The sequence below is a fragment of the Homo sapiens genome, chromosome 19 (assembly GCF_000001405.40).
Source record: "Homo sapiens chromosome 19, GRCh38.p14 Primary Assembly".
Lineage (NCBI taxonomy): Eukaryota > Metazoa > Chordata > Mammalia > Primates > Hominidae > Homo > Homo sapiens.
This window is the reverse complement of record NC_000019.10, coordinates 31,942,949-31,967,850: the sequence shown is the minus strand read 5'-3', so window position 1 is coordinate 31,967,850 and position 24,902 is coordinate 31,942,949. Positions and strand designations below refer to the sequence as shown.

General features: G+C 44.7%; 1 long non-coding RNA gene across 24 annotated transcripts in view, besides 1 other annotated feature; it reads left to right on the top strand.

Moving 5' to 3' along the window:
• The window catches only part of LINC01837 (long intergenic non-protein coding RNA 1837), a 234,720-nt gene that overhangs the window by 104,249 nt on the left and 105,569 nt on the right, over window positions 1-24,902 (top strand). For 17 of the 24 annotated variants that reach the window (XR_007067219.1, XR_007067217.1, XR_007067220.1 and 14 more), the window contains 3 exons: window positions 218-1,147; window positions 1,927-2,017; window positions 23,416-23,476. This is a non-coding gene — a long non-coding RNA (long intergenic non-protein coding RNA 1837). Of the gene's footprint in view, window positions 1-217; window positions 1,148-1,926; window positions 2,018-22,382; window positions 22,535-23,415; window positions 23,477-24,902 lie in introns of those variants that run through there. The other 7 variants (XR_007067218.1, XR_002958400.1, XR_001753925.1 and 4 more) reach the window with 4 other exon arrangements.
• Window positions 4,863-6,056: an enhancer, noted in NCBI's record as "VISTA enhancer hs536". NCBI's record gives its function as "enhancer in: other[6/7]" and the evidence as "EXISTENCE:transgenic organism evidence [ECO:0001131][PMID:17130149]".

Sequence of the window (24,902 nt, the reverse complement as noted above, 5' to 3'; positions counted from 1 at the left end):
AGGTAGCATCATTTTTTTCAGCCCAAAGATAAATCCTAGAGTTACAGAGGGCTTCTCTTGAGGAGGGATGCTCAGATCAATCAGGAGAAGCCAGGCAGGAAGGAGAACCCGAGACAAAGGGCCTTGCCTGGAACTCTGCAGCAGGGTTAGGGGGCGTGTGAGCCACCCATTGCATTTCTGTCTGGGGTTTTCATCAAGGTTCCCTTTTCTGTGACAGGTAATGTCATTGCATGTACACAGTTTAAGACAGAGCATCTGGTGATTCTCGGACCTTCAAGCAAGTGTCACATCTCAGGTGAACCTTGGCAGTTTTAAGATGAACAAAGTAATCAAAGCAAAAATGTCAAATAATAATAATAATAATGATATCAGAAGAATGTCCAGTGCCATGGTTGGATTCCCAGAAGGCAGCATCTGCTCATGCCATCAACAACATGGTGCCATTTCAGTCATCCTCTTTTTGTCCCAAAGACAGAAAAAAAATAGAAAAAAGAAAGAGAAAAAGACACCACGAACCGTCTATCCTCCTGGTAATACAAATACACCTGTAAATAAACATGTCAATGTCTACACACAACGCACATTTATGCAGAATCCATCCTCTCGGTGCTTCCGTAGTTATCAAGTAAAAGTCCTTCTAAGCCTAAGAAATGATAGTATTAATTCAGTCTTGGGGTGTGGGGGGAAAGGTGGACTATCATCAAATAAAAAAGGCGAGGCTAATTAAGTGACATCCACTGGGGACTGGGAAAAGAAGAGACTTCTTGTGGGAAAGTAATTATATCTTCATTGACCCTCCTGGGGTACCCCCAGTGGCAGGGACTCTGCCTCGCGGTGTGACATCTCCTTTCGGGATGAGCAGCCAGTCACCTCGAGAAGCCCCCTTCTCCATGGATGCGTTTTCTAATCATTTCACATGATTGAGCCTCCAGCAAGTGATGCTTTACTTAATTCCTTTCCGCCTGTAGGGTGTGAGGTTTGGAGGGCCTCTCGTCAAAACTTTGGAGGGCTCTGTCAGTTTGAAAAGAACATGACCTTTAAATTGTATCAGTATGTTTGCTGGTGCATAAGGGAGAGGAAAAGGTTCGTCCTGATGGAAAACCACTCAGAAGCCAAGGAGTAATTCAGAGGGAACCAGCCCAGGAAGGTAATTCATTTATACATAATTTGCTAAGTGGGGCGAGAGTGGGGCCATGTACCTGCCGGGAGAGAAAGGCCTTAAGGTTCGGGTCTGGGGACATTTAGCCCATCTTAGGGTATTTTTCTTTCCATCGCTTCTCACCTCTGAGCTACAGATGTTGCTCCACTGTTCTTAGAACAAGTAAACCAGTTTACTCCTGTGACTGCAATTGAGAGGCAGATTTTCAGAAAGATTCTACTTATACAACTGTCAGTCCTGGAGTTGAATCATTGACTCCTCCAGAGAAATTAGCAAGGTCTGGTCTGATACTGTGTGACGCAAGTAGGAACATGAGGACTGATTTTGAGGTTTATCAAAAAACTGCTTTTTAGAGATAAAGCATCTATTCTGATTTTATTTCATAAGTCTTATTAGAATAAAGAGAATTCGAGAAGCCCATCTGTTTCATGCACGCCCCCGTGCACACACACACCCCCATCCCCACACTTTTTATTTGTGTATTGTGTATAGTTTTTATTGAGTTTATTTGTGTAATTTTTTAAAAGTTATATTAGTTTGAATTTAGAGGACCTTTAATGACGACCCTTTGTGTCAGAGTTTGTTACTACCCAACCCCTTTTTTCTAGTTAAAATATTTGGATTTATAAATGCAGAAAAAAATAGAGGCTAAGATACCGAACATTTCCTGGTTTAAGGAGGGGACCAAAAATAGCAATTTGAGCTTGGAGCAGACGTATACTTATTTTATTTTATTTTTTTAAGTTTGTAGCATCTTTATCTTTCAGAATCAAGAAAGCTGCCCACAGTGTCATTCTTCAGCTGAGAAAAGAGAGAGTTGACTAACTCCTCGGACTGGAGTGAGGACTCACAGAGGTGGTAGGACACTAACCATCTATGTCTCCATTTCCTGGGTTGTAACACTGAGGTAGAACATCTCACTGTCCCATGGAGGATTATGTTATTTTTGGAGATTAATAATTTTGGAGGAAGAAAGGTGGCTTCCTGAAAAGGAAGTCACATGAAGAAGCAACTTACACGGTGGTCTCTTTAAATAAACATATTGTGACTAGACAATGTATTTGTTCTTTGTAGCAGGAAAGAGCAATGAGCAGGCTTCTGACTCTAAGCCCTGTTTATCCTCACGTTGTGAAGCATAATCATTTGTCAGCTTAGGTGAAGCCCCTGTGCCCGGCTGCAAGCCACGGTGCTGTGAAGTATTGACTGAGTCCGGGTGCCTAATGCAAAATGCAAAATAGGAATTGAAACATACTTGATGGAATTAAAACATTAGTATTGGCTTTCAGCTCTCGGTTCTCTAGCTCCTGTTATAAATGCAGGGCATCTTAAAAACAAAACCCAATAAACAGCAGAAAACAGCCGGGCGCCTTTGCAAGGCAGGAGAGGCACAGAACCTCGCTGCAAGATTTGTGAATTGATTTTCTCCAGTGTGGACTCCGGCAACTGTTTCATCTCTAACTTTGACATATACTTTTCCTTTATTTTAAATAGAATGCTCTTATTTTTACCATGGGTATAGGAAGGCACTGTGACATGCTAGATAAATGAAATAATCCTGATTACCACATTAAGCCATACACAGGGAATCTTAAAAAGAAAATGCTGTAAAAATCTAATGTGGATATACTTACTCGAACATCAGTGTTTATCAGTGTGTATATGCACTGGGCCTTCTCTGAAGTGGAGGTCACCACAGCATGGGATTTGGGGTCTGACCTTTGCCAAGGAAGTCCATAAGGTATTTCATATGAGATATCTTCCTAGAGAAATGAATCTGGTTTTGGTCCCAGACAGGAATCCTGTCTTTCATCAAATAAGCTTAATATTCAACAATATGGCAGGAACCAATATGTATGGTTTTGCCTCTCTGTTCCTAGAGGTCTTTATTTAATCCTAAGTCTTGGGAATCTGAGTAAACTGTGATGACCAGGCCCTTATGTCCAGTGGAACCCAGGAACAGTGCTTTAATCTTATTTCCTCAAGGATCTGCGGAGATCTGTGTTTGGGTTACAACCCTGTTGCTCTCCAAGGGGTAGCATGCTTGGGTCAGGGAAGGAAAATGGCGCCCAAGGGTGGCCATGTTTGGGTTCCAGACATATCCACTCATTTAAATCTATGACATTTCTAGCAATCTCGATTGAAAGCAAAGACAGCCAAGGAAATATTTTCTAATGGGTTCTTCACACTGTTCAAGCACCATAACATTCCCTTCTGTCCTGGAGTTTCAGACATCTGTCTGCGGTGGAGGCACTGTTCCAATAAATCCTCTGTCCTTGGGAGATGAGAGGTGAAATGGGATTGGGGAGAGGGTTAGGGGACAGTGGGGAACCTTCATCTGGCCCAAATCCATCCCCTTGGCCTGTAGTCCTTGATAGCAGAGCCCAGGGGAAGCCCACTGTGTGCATGCTCACCGGTTTCTGTCATCTTGGGCTGGCCCGCACGCAGCCACACTGCGCTTCAGGATGGCTTATCCTGATGTAGCCCAAAGGTTTCTAGTTCTCTTTTATGTCATAAGTCTCTGTGGCTTTGGTAGGCCTCCCCTCTGAGGAGTCTTAGGACTACGCTGCTAGATTTGCTGTTTTACATCGACACGGTTTGCTTGGCCTTGGAGTTCCTTTCATTGCAGGCTTGAAACCCTGAGTTCCTGGGATTGCATCTGGCACCAAGCTCTTTCTCCTCAGAGTTCAACTCCAGGGTTATTGTGGGTGAGGCAGGCAGTGCCAGGAGGGAGGCCCTTTGAGCTCAGCCTGCAGAGTTATCACCAGTTCCTCTAGTCTGAAGAGCTCAGAATAATTTCTGATGATTTCCCCCAAGGGGTGGGGGTGGTGTGGTTAATAATATTGCAGCGGGCACAGCAGGCTTTGGGTGGAGAGAAAGCAGCTGTACCTACTGAGTAGGGAATTTTATTCTGGTGTCTGAAACTTTCAACAACTTGGGCCTGGTTGGGCGAGGTAACTCCATGACTCTACAGACGCATTTTGAGTGAGTTGGTTTCAGCTTTCACAAAATGCTAATGTTGATATTGTTTACATCTGGTTGCATTGTTTTTCACTTTAAAATTACAGCTTTAGTACATTAAGCTAATTTCATAATACTGTATTAACTTAATATTCCATAAATCACACTTGTCAGATTGCATTGTTATGGATGTGCAAAACCCAAATTTACTATTCAGACTCTCCAAACACATGTATTCATAATTTGCTCCAGCAAGCCCCATGCTGCCATATAGGGTTAAGGAATTATACATTCCAATGCCAGGCACAGATCACACTGCTCTCTCTCTCCCTGCAATTGTTCTCCATACAAATTGAAACAATATATTTCCAGCCATTTTCATAGTTGTAATTACTAGCAAAAATCGTAATACCGTGAACATATTTTACACACCTGCACTTTTGGTCCAATTCATTTTTTTTGTAAGCTGAGTGTTCTCGTTTGAATAAGGTTGAGAAAGCTCACTGGTGGTAGGAATGGCAGGGTATTTTTTTTTTTTTTTTTGGGGAAGATGATAACTTTTGACTTGGAAGGAGAGGTAAAGAGACTAGCAGAAGGAACTCAGCTTGTACCTTCTCCTCTCCCTTCATCCCTTTTCTCTCCTCTCATCCTCTCTTTTTCTCTCCTTTCTCTTGCCTCTCTCTGTGCCTGTCTCCCCCACATCTCTGACCCTCTCTTTCTTTTTTCACCTTGGCAAGAAGAATTTAATTGCAGCCTATTTGGCTTTTACGTGGTCCCTGGTCCTCTTGCAAGGGTGCAAAGTCTCTGTTTAGCCTGCCTTGCTGGTTCCGGGGAACAAAGGCATGCTGTTGGTGGGGGAAATGGTGGTGGGCTGGGGCATGGAGGAGCCTCTGTAGGTTTTTAAGCACACACTGTCTAATCGGGCTCTGACAAGTCCATTGTAAATCAAAGGTCTGGTAAGTGGGGATGCCAGAAATGTTTGATCTCCTTCCAAGCCTTGAAACAACTTGCTTATTTTTTCTGCAGTTTGGCTCCTCACTAAAATAAAACATTGCGAGATGAATGTTCTGACGGGTCATTGTGTGTCAAGCTGTCACTCTGTAATGGTTACATATTTCAGCTGGATTGAGGTGGTGCTGGTTGGGGGAGGTTTGGGGAAAAGAGAGAGGGAGAGAGGGAGGCTAAGAAAGGAGACAAAGAATAACAAGATTTCTGCTTTCTCCTTGTGGCTGATCTTCATTTAAACCAAACACTTGTCATGTTCAGGGGAAGTTTTATAAATTTTTAATGATATTGGGTACAACTGGTGCTTTGAAATTTGCTGTACTTTAATTTTTTCTTCGTTAGCAAAGGTTCACTAATGCATTGAAGTGCTAAGAGCGTATCCTGGGGATGCCACGATAATTGTGTTGTTAATAATATTGTGGCACTAGTAATGTTCTCCTGGTAATCAAGGCATGAGATTTTTTTTTAATATATTCAGTTATTACACTGCATCTCGTACAAATCATGTCAATTACAATTGCCAGCCTGTGACAGTTAAAATAATTGTATACGTTTTCTAGAATTTTCCATTGGCTTGGCTAATCAAGCTAAAAAAAAATCAACACATTATTTGCATTAATTTTGTTTCTAGTCTATTTACACTCCTAAATCATTTGTCCATCTACTTCAAAAGGCAGAACAGTAAGTATTTTAATAATAAATATACAAACACATTCACACCAACCTAATTTAGGAATACTCCTATAGGTCTGGCAAGATGGAATCATCTGGTAGGAATGTTTTGTGTGACTGGGTTTATGACTTTAACTAGTGTGCATGCATGCTGATGTTGAGTTCACATTGCATACACTTGGGATATGTGGATTCTATGTTTATATAGACAGATCTTGTAAGAACATTCATTTTAGCATTTGCTATTTCTGTATTCCGTCCGTAGTTCTGTCTAGGTCAGGAAAATTGCATGATTTTGGTCTTTCCTTTTTGGCTTCACTGAAATAGCTCAATATTCCTCTGCACCAGGAAATGATGTATGTAATACTTTGCAGAACGACACTGCAAATTTGCAGCTCAAACAGTAGTCTTCTACTTCTGTGAGCTCTACCTCCTGACCGGCACTGAAGGTTTCTTTATTTGGAACTAAAATAGCTAAACACTCAAAAAGTACTGAACATGCGAAGCCAACCGCACATGGAATCCCCTGCGGTGTCTCAGCAAATTTCCCCATAGCCTGGGCTCTCTCTCTCTCCTTCACCCAGCATCCCTCTCCCCATCACTACTGAGAACAGGGAGGGGTTTTGGTCACATAGAGACATGTTGAATGAGGACTCCATGGTGCACAGAAGAAGGGAGGAGGGGCTGGAAGGCTCTCTGGGGAGCCTTGTCCTGTCTGGCTGCCATGGCATGGGGACAGCAGGTCGGGGTGCCTCTCAGGCAGACCCTGAAGAGTGAGCTGCCTGGCCTGTTTTAGCTGCAAAAAAGAGAGGCTTGGAAAGCAAGCAGGGAATGTGGCAATTTCTCAAGGGACCCTTGAACAAAAAGGAGAAGCATTCTTGCAAAACAACAGTAGCAGAGGGTCGGAGCAATGACAGGTGGACATGCTAGGATTATCTGAGAAATTATCCGGCAGCTTGGTGATATTATTTGGAGAATTATAAAAAAAGCACCCCAGTTCCTGACGCCCTCTTCAGCCCTTCCACCACCATCCTCCCTCTACACTGTGCTGTCCATGGCATCTAGATTTTGCATGAGGATCAGTGGCTACAGGTTACGGGGGTCAGGGTAACAAAATATTTTTTCCCTTTTTTAATGCAATCATATTCTCTTAAACATGGCTTGAACAAATCATCTCTCAAAATGTAGAATTTATTTCTCAACTTTGCCTGGAGGTACAGCGGCAAGAACAGATTTTTTCCCTCTCTCTGGCCCTTTGAGTCCTGACCATACAGAATGGATGGCTTTAGAACTGTACACGGACAGGAAAATCAATGCGTCATACCAGGAGGCTTCAGGGGTTAGGTTCCCATGTCCATGTCAACAAGGCTATTGGTTTTTTTAATGCTCCAAAGTTATCACTTCCCGGCTGCTAGAGCCACCGCTGTGACTTGTGTGGTCAAACCTTAACAAAAGAATTTCCCTTTGCCCACCACTCGGTGGCATGGAATTTAATTATTGCACAGAGAGAATTTTTCCAAGTATGACAATCTAAAACAAACAAGCAGGCCCCCAACCACAGACATTCTCAGGGCAACTGGCTGGTGTGTTACAGCTGGGATCAGGGATCTTGCTGGGGTCTGGGGCACCACATTTGTGCCAATCCTCAGCTCTGTGGCAGGATGGCAGGCGACTGGTGAGGTCTCTGCTACCTCTGGATGCTCTGGAGATGCAGCTTGCTGGAAGAAAAGGACAACATGGCCTTCTTCAGGAGGGTCACCTTGAAGTCAGTTGGAATTGGGGGTGGCAGACAGCTAGGACCATGGGCATCTCTCCTGCTTTGAGCTCAATGGTCTATTTAAGGAGGTTTAATTTGTCGGTAGAATTACGAGCTCTCAGATGACGACCATGTTGCTTCAATTAACACTTACTGTCATTAGATTTTAAAGCGAGTATCCGAAAGGCCTTGGCTAAATCTTTGTTGATTTAATCATCCCAACTACCGCATTTGGTCTACTGGGGAGTCCTTGTGCCCTGACAGTAGCCCTATATGAAGACCTAGAATTTCTCAGATTGACCGAGTTTGCAGCCATCCTGGATCCAGACCCCTCCTGAGCTGCCTGGCCAGGCAGAGACCCTGTGCCCTCCTAAATCGGCCCTTCGCTCTGGTTTTCATTCTGAACCCCCCCCCCCCAGCCACCTTTCCCTGGGCTGTCCTGTCGGCGGTGACACAGTGCCAACGCCACAGTGCTGGAGACCGCAGTGAGCATTGCTCACTCGCAGCGGGCGGATGAAAAGGCAGTGCAGATGTAATTTGTTTTCAATGGCTGTTTCAAAAGAATAATTGTGGTGACATTGCGGGATCAATATTATAGATTTTTGTTTTCAAGTACACTGTATGTGTGGTGCTAAGGGGAGGCAGGAAATACAACACTGAGGCCTGAATACAATAAAAATGGATTGAGGTCTGCGGGTATTTGTCGGCTGCTAGCCATCACGGGTTTGGGACAACATTGGTGGGATTACCGAGTTTGTCCTTTGGGTTGGTATTTCATGGTGAGTGGTGTGCACATTTCCTGTAGTTTTCCTTTTGGCTTCTTTTGGGACTTGTTTCCTGAATCCATGTGAAGCAATCCGAGACGAGCTTCCAAAATCAGAGCCTTGGCTTTGCCCACTAACACGTGGAGGTGGCCGGGGGTGGTGTGCTGGAGAAGGTGTGTGACGATCTGTGGAAGGGGCTGGACAGTTTCAGGAGAACACGATAGCTTCTAGTCCAGATTCGGGGTAGGATGACTCTGGAAGCCATCTATTTCCTCCGGCTCCTCCTGGGCAGCCTCCAAAACGCAGGCCACCCCAGGAGCGTCTGTGCATCCCGGATTGAGACAGGGACTTGGTGATGGTGGGAGCAAGTCCCCAGGCGTCCCTTGGACCACCTTAGATGGCAGCCTCATCCTTGGGCAGGACAGCATGCTCTTGAAAAACACTCTGCTCAGAAAGCTTTTCTGAACACAAAGATTGTCACTTTAAAATCCTAAGAACACCAGAGGAGGTGATGAAGACCTCTGGAGTTAAGGCGGGTTCCCTGACTTGGGGTAACTGCACAAAAGTGTAGATCCCAGGGTGAAAATTATATGAACAAAGCATTAGTAATAAAGCTGAATAAATGTAATGAGATGTGAAAGAGAGCATGGTGAGAGCTTTCCCCCCTGTCTTTTGTAATTAGCCCTTGAAAGAAATGGAAATCCTGGCAAAATACCTTTCTAGTCACTGGCTTCAAATTGTAAATGAAAATGATTTGTTTTGGGGTGAGAGAATTGCCAGGCAGGGAGCAGGATTTCTACCTCACATCCAGAAGGATACCCACAATGTGACGGCTGGAATATCTGGCCCAAATGACTCAGTTGACAGATGGGGAAACTGAGGCACACCTTTTCTAGGGACGTGCCTGGTCTTGCAGTGAGTTTGAAGAGACTGCATATTCTGACTTTCAACCCAAAGCTTCCCATGAACTTGGCTCTGGTTTGGGTGTATTTTGTTTGGAAAGCACAATGTCTTTTGTTGCTTTCTTTCTTTCCTTCTTTCTTTCTTTCTTTCTTTCTTTCTTTCTTTCTTTCTTTCTTTCTTTCTCTCTCTCTCTCTCTCTCTCTTTCTTTCTTTCTTTCTTGAGGACAAATATAAAGCTGGGCAAGTTCCACAGCAATCCAGTTCTGGATTCTCTTGAAAAAATCAGAATATCTAGCAACACAGGGCTCCTATCTTGCATGGCAGCATCTAGCCAGTGTGAAGTCCCTGCTGCCTGCTTTGGGCGAAATCCTCCCTCACTTGTTCACCTTCAGCCTAAGAAGCATTTGAGCTTGTCAGCCCTATACTAGAGTGCATTGCGGCATTTGTGTGACTGGACAGCTTTCCTGCTCTGAGACCTCTCTGGCACACTTGTGAATTTAGCACAGTGGCGAATACCAGGGGCACACTTCCCTCAGAGCTACTCCTTCCTTGGTCCTATGGAGCACAGACTATGATTAGTAAATATGAGCCGATTGGCACCCTAGGACCTCTAACACCCTATGTTAGCAATTTGTGTGCCTGTGTGATGCAAACTCTCTGGAAGAAGTAAAAACCAAACCACCTACACACTTCAAAATAGCCAGATGTTTACATTCATACTTCCTGAAGATTTAAAGCCATAAACATTCGCTGAGCTCCTGGCTTGAGGTTTAGGCAAGAGAGAACGCCTTCTCTCAAGGAGCTCACAGTCTAACAGGAGAAAACATAGATGCGTTAATTACCTAAGATGTAAACTCAGGGCTGGTTCATTGAGGTCCTGCTGTGTCCTAGCCCCTGCAACTACCTTTTAAGTCACTAGGCAAGGAGAATACCCACAAAAGACAGAGTATGGTGAAAAAGGCTGTATTTTTGTGTTGAGGGGTTTAAGTCTGGGTTAGGAGAATTAACATCTTAGTCACTAATTTAACAGCTATTTATTGTCAGCTAGGAGTGGGGCATGGTACAAATGCTAGAACTATAATGGTGAGCAAAATAGACATTAATCCACCAGTGGCACAAACAAATAATTCAAACTCGTAAGTGCTATGAATGAGAGTACACAGTGTTATGAGTCCACATAACAGAGAATCTGATCAAATCTGGGGAAGATCAAAGGCTTCTCTGAAGAAGACATTTGGTCTGAAGGTTGGATAAAGAATAGAGATTACGAGGTCTTTCTACACAGAAGAATCAGAATGTTCAAAGGCTCCGGGGCAGGAGAAAGCCTGTCATACCCAGGCAACTCAAAGAAGGCCAGTGCAAGGTGGGAAAGAGAGCATGGAAGGAAGTGGTGTGGGGAGAGGAGCTGCAGAGATATATTGGTGGATGCCAGACCAAACAGGACTCCAAGGTCCAGGGTAAGACATTTGGTCTTTGTCCTCAGAGGAACAGAACACAGGAAGGGTTTTGGAATGTGTGTGTGTGTGTGTGTGTGTGTGTGTGTACATATGGCAACACAAACAGATCCATCTTTTAAAAGAAGTATTTATCCTAAGTCAGGTTTCCAAGAAATCAGATGCCGAGCCTCAGAAATTTGTGTAGAGTGTTCCCTGGGGGATGCTTTTAGGAGCAACAGCTGTGAAGAGTCAGAAAAGCAAGACTGGGCATAAGGAGAAGTTGCACCATCATAAAGTTGCAGAAGAGGCCTCAACAAATGCTATGGTACATGCTGGAGCTAGCATGGCTCTGCAGAAATGTCCTGCCATGGAGTTTGGGGCTTTAAACCACCAGATCCCCAGTGCATCAACCAGTCATTGGATGGTGGCTGCCCCTGGGGAGGAGATGTAATCTTGAATAAGGCTGTTCTCTTCAGCTAAGGACAATTTTCAAGAGGGAACTCAGTTAAGAGCTGCCAGCCACCAAGACTCTCAGGAGCTGGAATTAGTGGCACACAGAGAACACTACAGTCTGCCCCCTGCATTATGTAGAACTACTTGTTTCGTATAATAAATTTTATAAGCAGCTCTTCCAGGATCTTGGTTGTTTCTTTTCTTCAGGGGAGACTTATAAGAGGAGTGTCATTGGGACAAACCACAATCCCACCCCTGCAGCTGGTCTTTGGGTCACATCTATTACTCATCATCTCTGCTTTCTGTAGTGCCAGGCCATTTGCTACTCCCCACGATTCTCTATATACTCTTATGTCATTATTTGCTTCTTATCCTTGGCTGACACTTCTATTGGTCTGAGCTGCTCAGCTGGTGCAGTGACCAAGCCCTCCTCTCTAAAGTGTATGGTGCTCTGGACACCATGCCCTTCTCGACATGGCTGTTGCATTCGTTCTGTTTTCACGATAGGGCCCCAGTGACAAAGGGTACCCTAGTGGATCAGCTGGCTGCCTCCATCATGTAACAACAACTCTATCTCCTCCTTTCCTTTCTTGCTAGATTCTCAGCATAAGAATCCTAAGTGAACAGATGACAACTGTAGCTAAAAATATAATGGGACTCTTGCCAAGTTATCTGGTGGAAGAGTGCCTTGTCCAGGACTCAGAACCTCTAGATGCACAGCACCTGGCGTTACCAGGATGCTAAGCACTACTTCTGTAAATGGATCAGTGGGAAGGATGGAAAGCGGGGCCGCTCCTGCTTCTACCCTTTGGATCCTGACCTCATGTATTCCACCTGTTGGGGATGCACAAACATACAATTTTCATTGTTTTGGAGTTTACACTGAGTTCTGGAGAAGGATGTCCTATTCTTCCAGGATATCATCCCCAAGTTGGTGCTCGAGCTGAATCTTCAAAGGGCCATTCTATTGCTCTACCGAGTTGGCAGTTTTCTTTTTGTTGGGATAAGTGATAGAGCCAGTGTGGCTCTATCGTGGTCATATTTCCACTCTCATGGTCATATTTCAACTCTTACATCTTCCCTAACTACAATGCAACATTGTGTGGGATCTAGTATTGGTGTAAACTCTTGGATAGTAGTGCTAGCTAAAGACTTGTGGCCAGGAAAGGCAAACTTAAATCCAGAGTATGTGAATTCCTATCAATTTGAATCCCTACCTTTTCCAAGATGGAAGGGATCCAGTGTAATCAAGTTGCCCCCAAGTGGATGGTTAGCCTTCTTTTGGTATGAAGTCACATTAGGGATTAACACATTGGTCGCTGTGGCTGGCAAGCTGGATATTTGGTGGTGCTAGGAACTAGATAAGTCTTAGGGAATAGGGGTTCATGCTACTGGGCCCATGCATAATGTTTGTGCTATCAGGTCTTTGCTGCATTCATGTGGCCATTGTGCAAGCCCAATGACCAATGACAGAAATTAGTCCCATATCAACGGGCCGAGTCATTCTTTCTACTTGATTGTTTACTGCTTCTTCCATGATGACTGCTCCCTAATGGCATTATTGTGTAATACAAGGATCATCCCACTTGTGCCTTCTCATAGACCCATCCATAATCCTCTCTTTCCCAGGTCTCTTTGTCTTCAGTCTTCCAGCTGTTCCTTTTCCAGGGCTCTTGACCAACCAGCCAAGCCATTTGCTACTACCCATGACTCTACATGTATTCTTATGTCAGCCCACTTATTTTTCCATACAGAGTAAATTACCAGATTCACCACCTGAAGGTCGGCTATGGGGAAGAATTTTTCCCTAACTACTGTCTTTCAAAGCCATGACTCTGTGGGACTGTATATCACAGCAGGGGTCTGTTTGCAGCTTGTATTCACACACTGAGCTAAGAACCAAGATTAGCCTTTTTCTTTCTCCACCAGCTGCTTAGAGGGGTCACCAGGGTTCCGCAGGTGTTAGCTGAGGAAGGAGGTGCTGCTGGATCAGTAGTGGGTGTCATAGGGGTCTGGGCTACCAGCTCATGCAGCCTACCTGTGCCCTGTGGTCCTACTCATGCCAATTCTAGATAAAATTCTTCCATATTACAATGGATAAGTTCTGGATCTACCTGACCTTATAACTTGGTGGCTCTGACAAAACCCAGTTCATGATGGAAAGCTCCTACTGGTTGGTAACTGGGTGGTAACTAGGCATTCCGTGGGCGGAAAATCTGTCTCTACCAGGGCCCACAAGTAAACCATGAGTTGTTGTTGTTTTGTTTATTTGCATATGGTGCATACTTTCTTACTGCATAAATTCTGGATAGTCGTTTTCCACCTCAGTGACCCTGTGTCTGCTGGGTCATGAGGAATTCACCAGGTCTTGGTCAAGTTGCAGAGACCTCTCCTGATTGGTGCCCCTTTCAATGGAAGACACTCCTGTCACTCAGTACATGGATAGCAGCAATATTCTGAAATGTGGGATAGCTGCTTCCAGAACCCACAGAGGTGTAGCTGACAAAGTGAAATGTGAGATGCAGTGTGAAATGTGAGGTGTCCTTCCCTACAGATGGGATGTTCTGGTATGTACTTTTTTTTTTTTTTTGGAGACAGAATCTCTTTCTATCACCCAGGCTGGAGTGCACTGGCATGATCTTGGCTTACTGCAACCTCCAGCTCCAGGTTCAAGTGATTCTCATGCCTCAGCCTCTTGACTAGTTGGGACTACAGGCTATGTCACACCTGGCTATTTTTTCTTTTTTTTGTAGAGATGGTTGGTGTTTCACCATGTTGGTCAGGCTGGTCTCAAACTTCTGGCCTCAAATGATCTGCCCTCTTTGGCCTCCCAAATTGCTGGGATTACAGGCGTGAACCACCCCACCGGGTCCCTGGTATGTCTTTGATCATTGGATCCTCAAAAACTTCATTGACTTGGTGGGTCTCTGAAATTTCTTAGGGCTTATCTGCCACCCTCTGGAGGGCATGCATCTCACCGAGGTTGTCTACTGTCACCCTTCATGATCTACCTTGTTTTTGTAGGAATCAGACTGGTGAATTAATGCGGTATGATGGAACCTACCACCCTTCCATCATATGCGTATTTTCTATGTTGGATGGTGCAGGAACAACTTGAGAGACTACCACTTGACCTTCTGCACCATGATGGTTCTTGCCCAAAGGTCCAAGGAGCCACTCTGGAGATCTGCTAAGTTCCAAGGATGTCTATTCCGATGATACATTTTGGGGATGTGGAAATTACCGTTAGGTGGACTTCCTCAGACTGGATCTGGGCCTGGATTCTATTTTTCCCCAGCCCCTATGTGTGTACACTCAGGCCATTTTGCTAGGAAGAAGACTGAGGGTGAGTAATGGGGAGAAGCTGGAGATCTTGAATAGGAGAAGTTCAATTTGGGTCCCAGTCTGAGAAAGCTGCAGGAGGTTTGATGAAGTAGCCTTGGGTTTCCCAACATGGAAGACATGCAGATGATATTAAATAATATAAGGATATTACATTTATACGTTAAATCATAGTGAGTTACAAGGTAGGACAATTATTCCTTTTCCAATTCAACATGTTTGAATATTTGCTGTGGTTCCAAAATGGACAGGCTGAGGCCTGTTGCATGGGAGTTGGGACAAAAATAAGTTTCCCATACAAATATGGCCTGGAAATTGATGGATTTTTATAGTATTGCCTTCCTCAAAGTCTGAAGGTGGAATTATTCTGTTGTCCTGATTCAAGAAATATAGAAGGACAGCTTTCTGCAGAGGAATTAATGGGCTTTTCCTGCAAGCTTATTCCTCCAGCCTAGTCCCCACCTCAGATATGATGTTTCCATCTTCTTATCTTAAGCAACACATGTGGCTGTGTGGGCTGTGAACGCAGGGGAGTCACTTGAATCTCACCAATCTAAAAAGGAGGAAAAAGGGTGGCCCAATTTGGCTTCTTGCTCTGAAAAATTTCATTTGTAAATTTAAATTAAATTTTAAAATTTAATTCTATGGAAGAACATACTTTCTAGGATTTAAATTGAATACTGAACTCCCTTGGGTCAGAATGCCCCTTCTAAAACTTGACATGTTCTCTTCTGGTCTCTTCAGTTACTTTGCCAGCTTAGGGTAAGACCAGCCTTCATGGCACTCATTTTTATCATGCTGGAGGTCAAAAGTGGAATAACCTTGGGATCAGGAATTTTCTGATAAACAATGTTGCCTTGTTTGGGACAAGAAATCATAAGACTGTGTATTAGTTTTCGACTGCTGCTGTAACAAGTTCCCACAAACTCAGTGGCTTAAACAATACAAGTTTATCATCTTGCAGTTTTATTGGTTGAAATCTGGCACAGGTACCACTGGACTAAGACTGCCAGTAGGGCTGTGTTCCATTTGGAGGCTGTACTAGTCTGTTCTCACGCTGCTAATAAAGACATATCCAAGACTGGGTAGTTTACAGAGGAAAGAGGTTTAATGGACTCACAGTTCCACATGGCTGGGGAGGCCACACAATCATGGCGGAAGATGAAGGAAGAGGAAAGGGACATCTTACATGGCGGCAGGCAAGAGAGAAAGCATGTGCAGGGGAACTGCCCTTTATAAAACCATCAGATCTCCTGAGACTTATATGCTATCAGGAGAACAACATGGGAAAGACCTGCCCCCATGATTCAATTACCCTCCACTGGGTCCCTCCCATGACACGTGGAAATTATGGGAGCTACAATTCAAGATTTGGGTGGGGACGCAGCTAAACCACATCAGAGGCTCAAGTACAGAATTCATTTCCTTGCGTTTTCCAGCTTCTAGGGGCCACCCTTGTGCTTTGACTCATGGCCCTTTTGTCCATCTTTAAAGCTGACAATGTCGCATCACTCTGACACTTCATATTTTTCACTCTGATCAAAGCCAGGAAGAGTCTTTTTTTTTTTTTTAAAGAATTTAAGTAGTAATTTGGGGCCCTCTTGGATAATCCAGGGCAAACTCCCATTTCAAGGATTTACATTTTAATCACACCTGCAAAGTCCCTTTTGTCATGTGAGTTAACAGAATCCCAGGACCAGGCTTAGGGTGTGAACATTTTGATGGGGCCATTATTCTGCCTACCACAGATTGTAACATGTCAAAGTCATAAGGAACCTTAGGTTCTAATTTCTGACCTCTCACTCATTTTCATTTTGGAGTTCTTTCCAAGGCACTCTTTTTCGTGTGTGTTTGTTTGAGACAGAGACTCACTGTGTTGCCCAGGCTGGAATGCAGTGGCATGATCTTGGCTCACTGCAACCTCTGCTTCCCAGGCTCAAGCCTCAGCCTCTGGAGTAGCTGGGATTACAGGTGCCCGCCATCACGCCCGGCTACTTTTTGTATTTTTAGTAGAGACAGGGTTTTGCCATGTTGGCCAGACTGTTCTTGAACTTCTGACCTCAGATCCACCCACCTTGGCCTCCAAAACGCTGGGATTACAGGTGTGAGCCACCGCACTGAGCCCCAAGGCATTCTTAATAGGTGTGCATCCATCCTTGGATTGAACTTCTGCTCATAGGCTTACAGCAAGTTCACCACTGCCATGAGGTATTCAACATCTTGTTGACTCCAACATCTCTTAAGCATTTTTTTTTCAGTCAGGCTTCAGTCTGAAATTTTATAGGATGAACACAGCAAAAAGCTGTCTGAACAGGACTTTTGATTGACTCCACAGGACCACATCACAGACAATGCTATGTTTGCAAGCAGGTTCCGCATTTGAATTTGAATTTTTCCCTCCAGACACTGGACACAAGAGGTGTCCTTTTGGTGATGAGCAGACACAAGAAGATTTAACCATCAGCTTTAAGTCTCTTCTTAGCGTTGTGCAAGCCAGAGAGTTGGTCAGTGTCCTGGTTACATGATCCATTCATTTATTTGCTTATTCGCAAATATTTACTGAACCACTGCTTTGTGTCAGGAATTGGTTTAGGTACCTGGAATCCGCAGTGAACAAGGCAATGTCTTTTCCCTCATGGAGCTTCCATTCTAATACTGGGGGTGCAGTGAGAATTCATACATCAGTCTGTATTGCAGTATCTCGGAGAAATGAGTGCTGAGAAGAAAAAGAAAGCAGAGTAACGTGAAGGTGAACAGGAGAGAATGAGGGGGTTCTTCTACATGAGACTGTCATTCATAGCTCTATTCAATGCCACCTCCCCCAGAGAGGGTTTTCTGACCATCTCAGAATATTTTATCACAATTCTCCCGAACCTGATACATTAACCAAACTTTGTTTCCATCCCTCATTTTCTTACATGATTCTCCCTCCCTGACCCCCTGCCAACCAAATTCCTTCAAGCTCAGGAGCTGTGGCATCCTACTACCCTGCTTCAAGAGAATCTTGATAGAGCAGAACCAATACTTTCTAAAGTATTTTTGGAGACAAGGTCTCACTCTGTCATCCAGGCTGGAGTGCAGTGCTATGATCATGGCTCACTGCAGCCTTGACCTCCTTGGCTCAAGTGATCCTCTCACCTTAGCCTCCCGAGTAGCTGGGATTACAGGTGCATGCCACCATGCCCAATTCATTTTTATTTTTATTTATTTATTTATTTTTTTGAGACAGGGTATCACTCTGTCATCTAGGCTGGAGTGCAGTGGCATGATTTCGGCTCACTACAACCTCCGCTTCCTTGATTCAAGTTATTCTCCTGCCTCAGCTTCCTGAGTAGCTGGGATTACAGGCATGTACCACCATGCTGGCTAATATATATATATATATTTTGTATTTTTAGTAGGGACAGGGTTTCACCATGTTGGCCAGGCTGGCCTCGACCTGCTGACCTCAAGTGATCTGCCTGCCTTGGTATCCCAAAGTGCTGGAATTACAGGCATGAGCCACCACACCCAGCCTAATGTTTATATGTTTTTATATTGTAAATACAGGCTCTTCCTATGTTGCTCAGCCAGGTCTCAAACTCCTGGGCTCAAACAGTCAAAAGCATTTTTATTTGTCAGGGCCAGGTTTTGTGGGTAATAGTCCTGAAGTGCTTAGGGCCTCACATTTATGTCGCATGTTATAGTTATTGGAGAGGAGAGCAGCCAATCTGTTGGGTCTCAGATGAATGTTCCTTGGGGTGTGTAGGAGAATGGGAAGAGGATGAAGAAGGTGGAGTGTGTCCCCTTATGTCCATGACAATTATATGTGTTAGGTATCAGTACCTAAAATTCTGGATAATGCTGAGGACAGGAATCGTTTGCTGAATGTTCCATAACCAGGACACTTTGTAGGTAGGACTCTGATGCCATCTCTTTCTTGTCCCAAATCCATGATCCCTGATTCCAGCATGTCTTAAGTTTCCCCTAACTGACTGTCTGCAGGGAGTTTTGTTCCCAACCTTGGGTCCTGGGGGACCCCACGTGTCCCAGGTGCCTTAATAGAAATATCGGGGTTGATTTGAGTCAATGGGATCCGGCAAACAGAGAGGACGGATTGGTCTCATTAGTTATCTCATCACCTAGAAAATCCTTCTGAGATATTTCCTTTGGGCTGGTTAACTTCAAATACGAAGGAGCTCATTGAATAGGAAACAGCTGAATGTTTCCAATTTGGCATGTTCCCCCTGACTAGCCCAGGAACTGGGAGCTATGAGGCTACGCCCCCAGGGTCCCCCTCCCTGCTGATTTTACCAGTCTTGCTTGTCTTGCTCCTATGGTGGGAGGACAGCGATGTCTACTGCAAGCTGAGACAATCCTAGGCTGAGTGCTTGCGTATTTGCATAATGGTCAGGGCAGTGCAAGACTTTGCTTCAAGGGAAAGTCTAATATAACCGGCTAAGCCTCGGAAAGCCTGCTGCAAACCTCTCTAATAAGGATCGAATCCCAGTGTGGCCGTCAAAACAGCTGGAAAAGCTGCAACCCCAGTCAAATGAGAAATTGGGCAAATATCTTGACACAGAAAAACTGCACGTGTACCCTGGTAGAAATTATACTTTTATAGTTATTTTTACATCCAAACATTACTCTTTGAGCGCCGTCATATTTTATGAAAACTTTTATTAACATTTCAAAATGACCTTACCCTCATGGTGGGACTGTCAGTCCCAGGAGCCATAACCTATTTAAAACATTTTTATCTTTACAAACACAATAAAGTAAGCTGTCTTCAACAGATTTGTAGATCTCATTAGAGATACTTTTTAAGAAGGTAGTGCGTCTCTGGGGAAGATAATGACAGGTTGTAATCTTTGCATGAAAAGTTTTCAAACATGCACACTTTGTGCAAATGAATTATTTCAACTTTTTAGCATTGTTGTCACCAGATCTGCTTTGTAATTGCTCTGGTATTCAACGGGTTGGCTAAGGCTCTGGCTGCCATGAACAGGGCAACACACCTTGGATAGGATGAAACTGGTATTCCCCATACAGTAGCTCTCCACTTGGCTTGGCCACTGGAGGTGAGGTGAGGGCTTGAGCAGGACAGGGGCACAAGAAATCTCATGCAGATACCAGAGACAAATGACCCTTTCCTTTGACTAAAGCCTGCTTGGTTTTCTAGGTTGTAAATGTGGCTTTTCCCTTGGGGAGTGACTGGCTTAGGTGGCAGTCGAGGTGGGTAATATTTCAGAACTGCTTCTCCAAAGGGCCAGTGTCCTAAAGGCTTCCCTGCTTAAATGGTCTTTTTATGCAGCGAGATAATGCAGCTTGTGCATTGCTAAATCAGGCCTATTTTCTGAGGAATGGTTGCATTCACGGCGCTTCTAATTTGTCAGGAGAAATGCGGACCATCTCTCCAGGAGTCTGCTTAAGAGGACATCATTTCTCCACGAGCTCTGCCTTGGGTCAATGTGCAGCGCGGCTGGCACACCAACCCCTGTTGCTTCCACCTCCCGGGGATGCTCTGATTTATTAGGATTAAACAAGTCACGTCCTCCTCCTGACTCAGTCCGCAGGGTGAACATCCCCTCGTCCTTCCTCTGCTCTCTCGCCCCTTTCTCTTCTAGAGCCAAAAGGCAGAAGAAGGGTCACTTTACAAATGTGGCCTCTGTCTTGTGAAAAATATTGCTGATGAAGTTTCACTCTGCTGGGCTGTGATGGTGACGTAGGGGTGCACAGGTGGTCCCAGAGGAGGCCAGGGCGCTGGGCAGGCAGGCTCTGGGAGTGGCAAGCAGCTGTCTTTCTGGTTTTCTGATTGTGAGATGACAGTCAGAGCACAGGGTTTTGGAATACCAGAGACGAAGCCAAAGCCATTGGTAACTGACTGCTGTTTCTTTTGGTCAGTGTCAGAACGGGGGATAAAGCCCAAGTGAGTCCCACTGCCGAATGCCCCCAAGTGATTATCTTATAATTATTTCAACTGCATTTCCGTTTGAGCCTCCTTCTTCTATGGATCTCACTTAAGGAAGCTCAGCTCTGGCTTGGCCTCCATATTAAAGTTTTTTGTTGAGTGTGGCTTTATGGTAGTATTATTATTTATCTTATGAATCATATAAATATGATCTGATTTCTACCTTGGGTCCACTCTCTGCCATCTTACCTACTTAGGCAGGGCCTCTGTTCCTGAGCCCCCCCGGAGACTTCCTTCTGCAAAATGCATGGACTCCACACCTGACTACAGGGACAAGACCCTGATTTTGTCCCTCAGCAATTTGTGACTGCAGCTAAGTTACTCATCTCCCCTGTGGGCTAATAATAGGGTCCACCTGCCGGGCCATTTTGAAGATTGATCAAGTTAAAATACACACAACTCCAGGAATAGTGCTTGGCACGTGGAAAGCCCTCAGGAAGCAGCAGCTCTGTTTCTGTTGTGAATTGTCTGGGCTCCCTGGGTGAGATCTCCACTGACTGTTTTGTCTGGGTGGCCCTGCCTTGCTCCCTGGCCTCTAGCAGGCTTCCCAGCCTGGCCATCAACACAGCTGGAAAAGCTGCAACCCCAGTCAGCGTTTCTAGCTGAGACCCCAGGAGTTTTCTCACCACACAGGCTATTTCACAGCAACCACTGTGCACGTGAGCCTGACCACAGGAGCAGGTCCCATGAGGACTGTGGAGCTGGGACACAGGACGTAGGGCTTGTGAAGGCTTCAGCTCCCCTGAGTTGAGAGCCACACCTAGCTTTGTCAAGCCTGCTTTCCTGAGAGGCCCTGTTTGGCTGAGGAATGAGTTTGAAGTCATCCTGCCCAGCAGCCGTAGGCTGTTGGCTTTTGTCCTGGGGGCAAATCAAGGTCTGGCTGCCTCTGATTCCAAGCTTGGTGTGCAGAGCAGTGGAGTGTTCCTAGAGGAAAGCCTGAAGCCTGATGTGTCCTGAGGCTCCTTTCTGCCTCAGTCTCTCCATTTGAATATGCTTCTGTACCTCTTCTTTTTTTTCTTTGAGTCAGGGTCTCTATCTGTTGCCCAGGCTGGAGTTCAGTGGCATGATCATAGCTCACTGCAGCCTCCACCTCCTGGGCTCAAGCAATCCTCCTGCCTCAGCTTCCTGAGTAGCTGGGACTACAGGCATGTGCCACTGTGCCTGGCTAATTTTTAAAATTTTTAGAGATAGGGTTTCGCCATGTTGCCCAGGCTGGTCTTTAACTCCTAGGTTCAAGCTATCCCCCCACCCTCGTCCCCCAGCCTGGTTCCCCGCTAGGCCTCCCAACGCACTGGGATTACAGGCGTGAACCACCGTGCCTGGTCTCTTTACCTTTTTTTGAGTGTACGTCCAACTCAAGTGACTTCCCAGTTCATCCACCATGTGTTGGTTTATCCAACCTACACATGCATTTTGAGGGCCTGCTGTGTGTACAAAGACATGGGAAGCCAGGCACTCTTTTTCACTTGTTTTTTTTTTACCTTGAAGCCCAGCTAAGAACACAGATTTGTTCATGAAATATCTTTTCCTCTGGCTTTATTCATTCTGAGTAAGTAATGAATTCGGCTGAAGCTTCAGTCTTGTTAGGAAAACTGGTTCTAGGAACCAAGGGCATGAGGCCCAATCTCTAGGTTAAGCTGGGTTAAGTTCATTAGGCATAACGTTAGAAAAAAATTAGTTTTTTGTCTGACACCTTTTCCAGTGGGAGAAGCTGGATTGAAAAGTTTTCAACTTGGCTGTGTAATCCAGCATCAGGAAAACTGCTGCCCTCTTCAACCCATGTACATTTTAATCTCCCCTATCCTGGATTCTGCTGAACAGATCAGCCCTAATCCTACACAGGCACAGTGCAGTCAGGGATGGTGATATCACAGGGTTGAAGACAAGAAAGACAGATGTGTGCCTGCACCCAGTTGCTAGAGCGTGGAGGCAATAATGATGGAACAGAAGGCAAGAGGCTGTCATCGTTCACATCACAAGGACCAGAGACACCTTTCCTGGGAAGAGAGCTGACAACCTTCTGTGGTAAGGGGTGAACATCCTTGGGAAGCCACAGAGAGCAAGGCGCAGTTTTTCATTGATCACCACTTTCAAGATGCTCCCAGAATCGTGCTGTCTAGGAAGCCATTTAAACTGGTGAGAAGAGGATACAGCATTTGACAATGGTTGTTTTGTTTCAAGACACATGCATTAAAAATACATCTGAAATCTGGGACACAAGGAATCCAAATAATGTTATTAAATTTCTTGTCGAAGAAGGTCTCCAGGGAGAGTGGCTCCGCTCTTTACGAAAAACTCGCAGAACTCAACTTGCGTGAACAAAGTGTCTTCGTTTCTTTTCTCTTCTCCCTCTCTCTTTCTGCTTTTTTCATTTCCCACTTTCCTGTTTCTCCCAAGGAGACAAACAAATCTCTAAAGGACTATTAAGTTGCAAATATATCGGAGCCAAAAATAGAAGATGGAGCCTTATAAACATTTTGCATATTTTGGTGTAATTTGTTGAAAATAGTACAAAATATGCTCACAGTTGGCATCTAGAATGCAAATATTAGGAATCCAGTCCCCTGATACATTATGGTTTTTCAGCAGTATAGTGTGGGCTCGTCCAATTGCTATTGTGTGACTTTGTAGTTTGTTGGAGTGTGAATAATATCAGTGACTTGTTTGTACAGTATATTAGGGAGATACATGTCGCCAAGTGTTATTAGCTCCTCTGGAGACTCCAAGGGACAAAAAAGCACAGAGTGGAACTCAGGGAGAAACAGATACATATATTTTTAATGTCACTGATGCCAGCTGCTTTTCTGAGCGGTTTCCTTAAAATAAAAACCAGGCCATGGATCAAAGTGTGCAAGGGGCTTTCATGTTCCAGAACATGGGGGTTAAGTGGGGAGAGTTTCAATGAGGAGAACTGCAGTGCGTGTTTGAGCTGATGGAATACTCTCCCACCTGGGGCTTCAATGAGCCTGACTGGTTTTACTGCTGACAGTAAATTTGTCTTTCCTTTCCCCTGACAGGTGAGAAGCCATCCTCTCTTGAATGGGGGCTCCCACTGTACATCTGGCACCCACTTCACAGGTGAGCCTTTCCGCTCCTAAATGATGACTGGTAAGAAAAACAAGATGTCTTTCTTGGTTATAAATTTAACTCTTCTATGATTAGTCTGGGCAATTAGGACACCCCTGGGGTTCAGTCTAGGGCTGAGGCACAAGCTGGAAGTCTGATTAGCTCAGGTCTCTTGATGCTTGTTCCTGGTAGTAAATGCCTGGCACATATAGTATTGATTTTCATTTAGATATCTTAATGTTTCCAGACAATCCCGGCAGATGTGGGCTGAACTCAGATCGGCAGGAGCGCCGGTCTGCAATCTGCAAACATTTTTCTTGCCACTTTGTTTCATTTTTCCTAAACTTAACTGATTTGGAATCTGGAGATATAAATGAAAAATGCCGAGTCGGCCTATCAATCACGGCATGCACAAACATCGCCACTGCCCTTCCTAACATCCTATTACCACTGGGTAGTTGGCTAGTCAAACAGGAATAAAAATTACACTGCAAACATCATAAGTTAGGCTTGATTTGTTGAGCAAGCAGCCTGACAATTCGGTAAGAGTTATATACCTCAGCTTCGCTGAAAATCAGGCTTGTTATGGCTCTGGTACGTCTATAAAGATTGTTCATTTCATATAAAACAGCTACCTGCACTGAACGCCCTGAAAGGAAGAATGATGCTGGTTATAAATATAGAGGAAAATCTATTTGTCTGCCCCTTCATGCTGTTAGTAAGTCACACAGAGGGCGTTTCTCGGCAGCAAGGGGAGTTCTGTGTGGCCACCTTCCCTCTGCCGGGCTGGCCTGGATTGAAGCGTATCATCGCTCTTTGTCATATGAGATAAAGCAGTGAAGTGTGACCGGTGCCACTGCCTTGCTCTCTGCCCACCAGGGGGACGCTAATGGTATTGAAAAACTAGACGGCATTGCATTTAAACCAAATGTGAGGGGAAGGCTGTCTGTTGGCCGGCTGGGCTGGATAACAGTTAACGTCAGAAAAGATAAATAGAAATTATTAGAATGGTTTGGAAGGGATTTTTTATAGGGCAGGGTGGTATTCGTTTAAAGATACATTATTGGACTGTTATATCTGATTTCAAGCTGCTGGGTAATTAAAATGATTAACATCCCTTACTCATAGAGTTCAATTCATTAAAGTTTTAAGCACCCTTTGTGCTCAGAATGGGAGGATGGGGCATCCATGTTGACTCACGCCAGGACTCACTCAATTCGGCCCTATGTTTATTTTCCCTGGTCTTTCAAGCCGTGATGTCCATTTCTAAGCTGCAGGAGCACACTGGGTGGAAAACATCAGCCTTAAATATTCACTCTGTAGGATCTCTCATTCAGAGAGGAGGAATGGAAGGGAAATAGAGAAACCCAGAAAATTCTGCTAACCCAGTTGTTGGAACCCAGAAAATTCTGCTAAGGATGTCAGCCAGGTTCTTCCC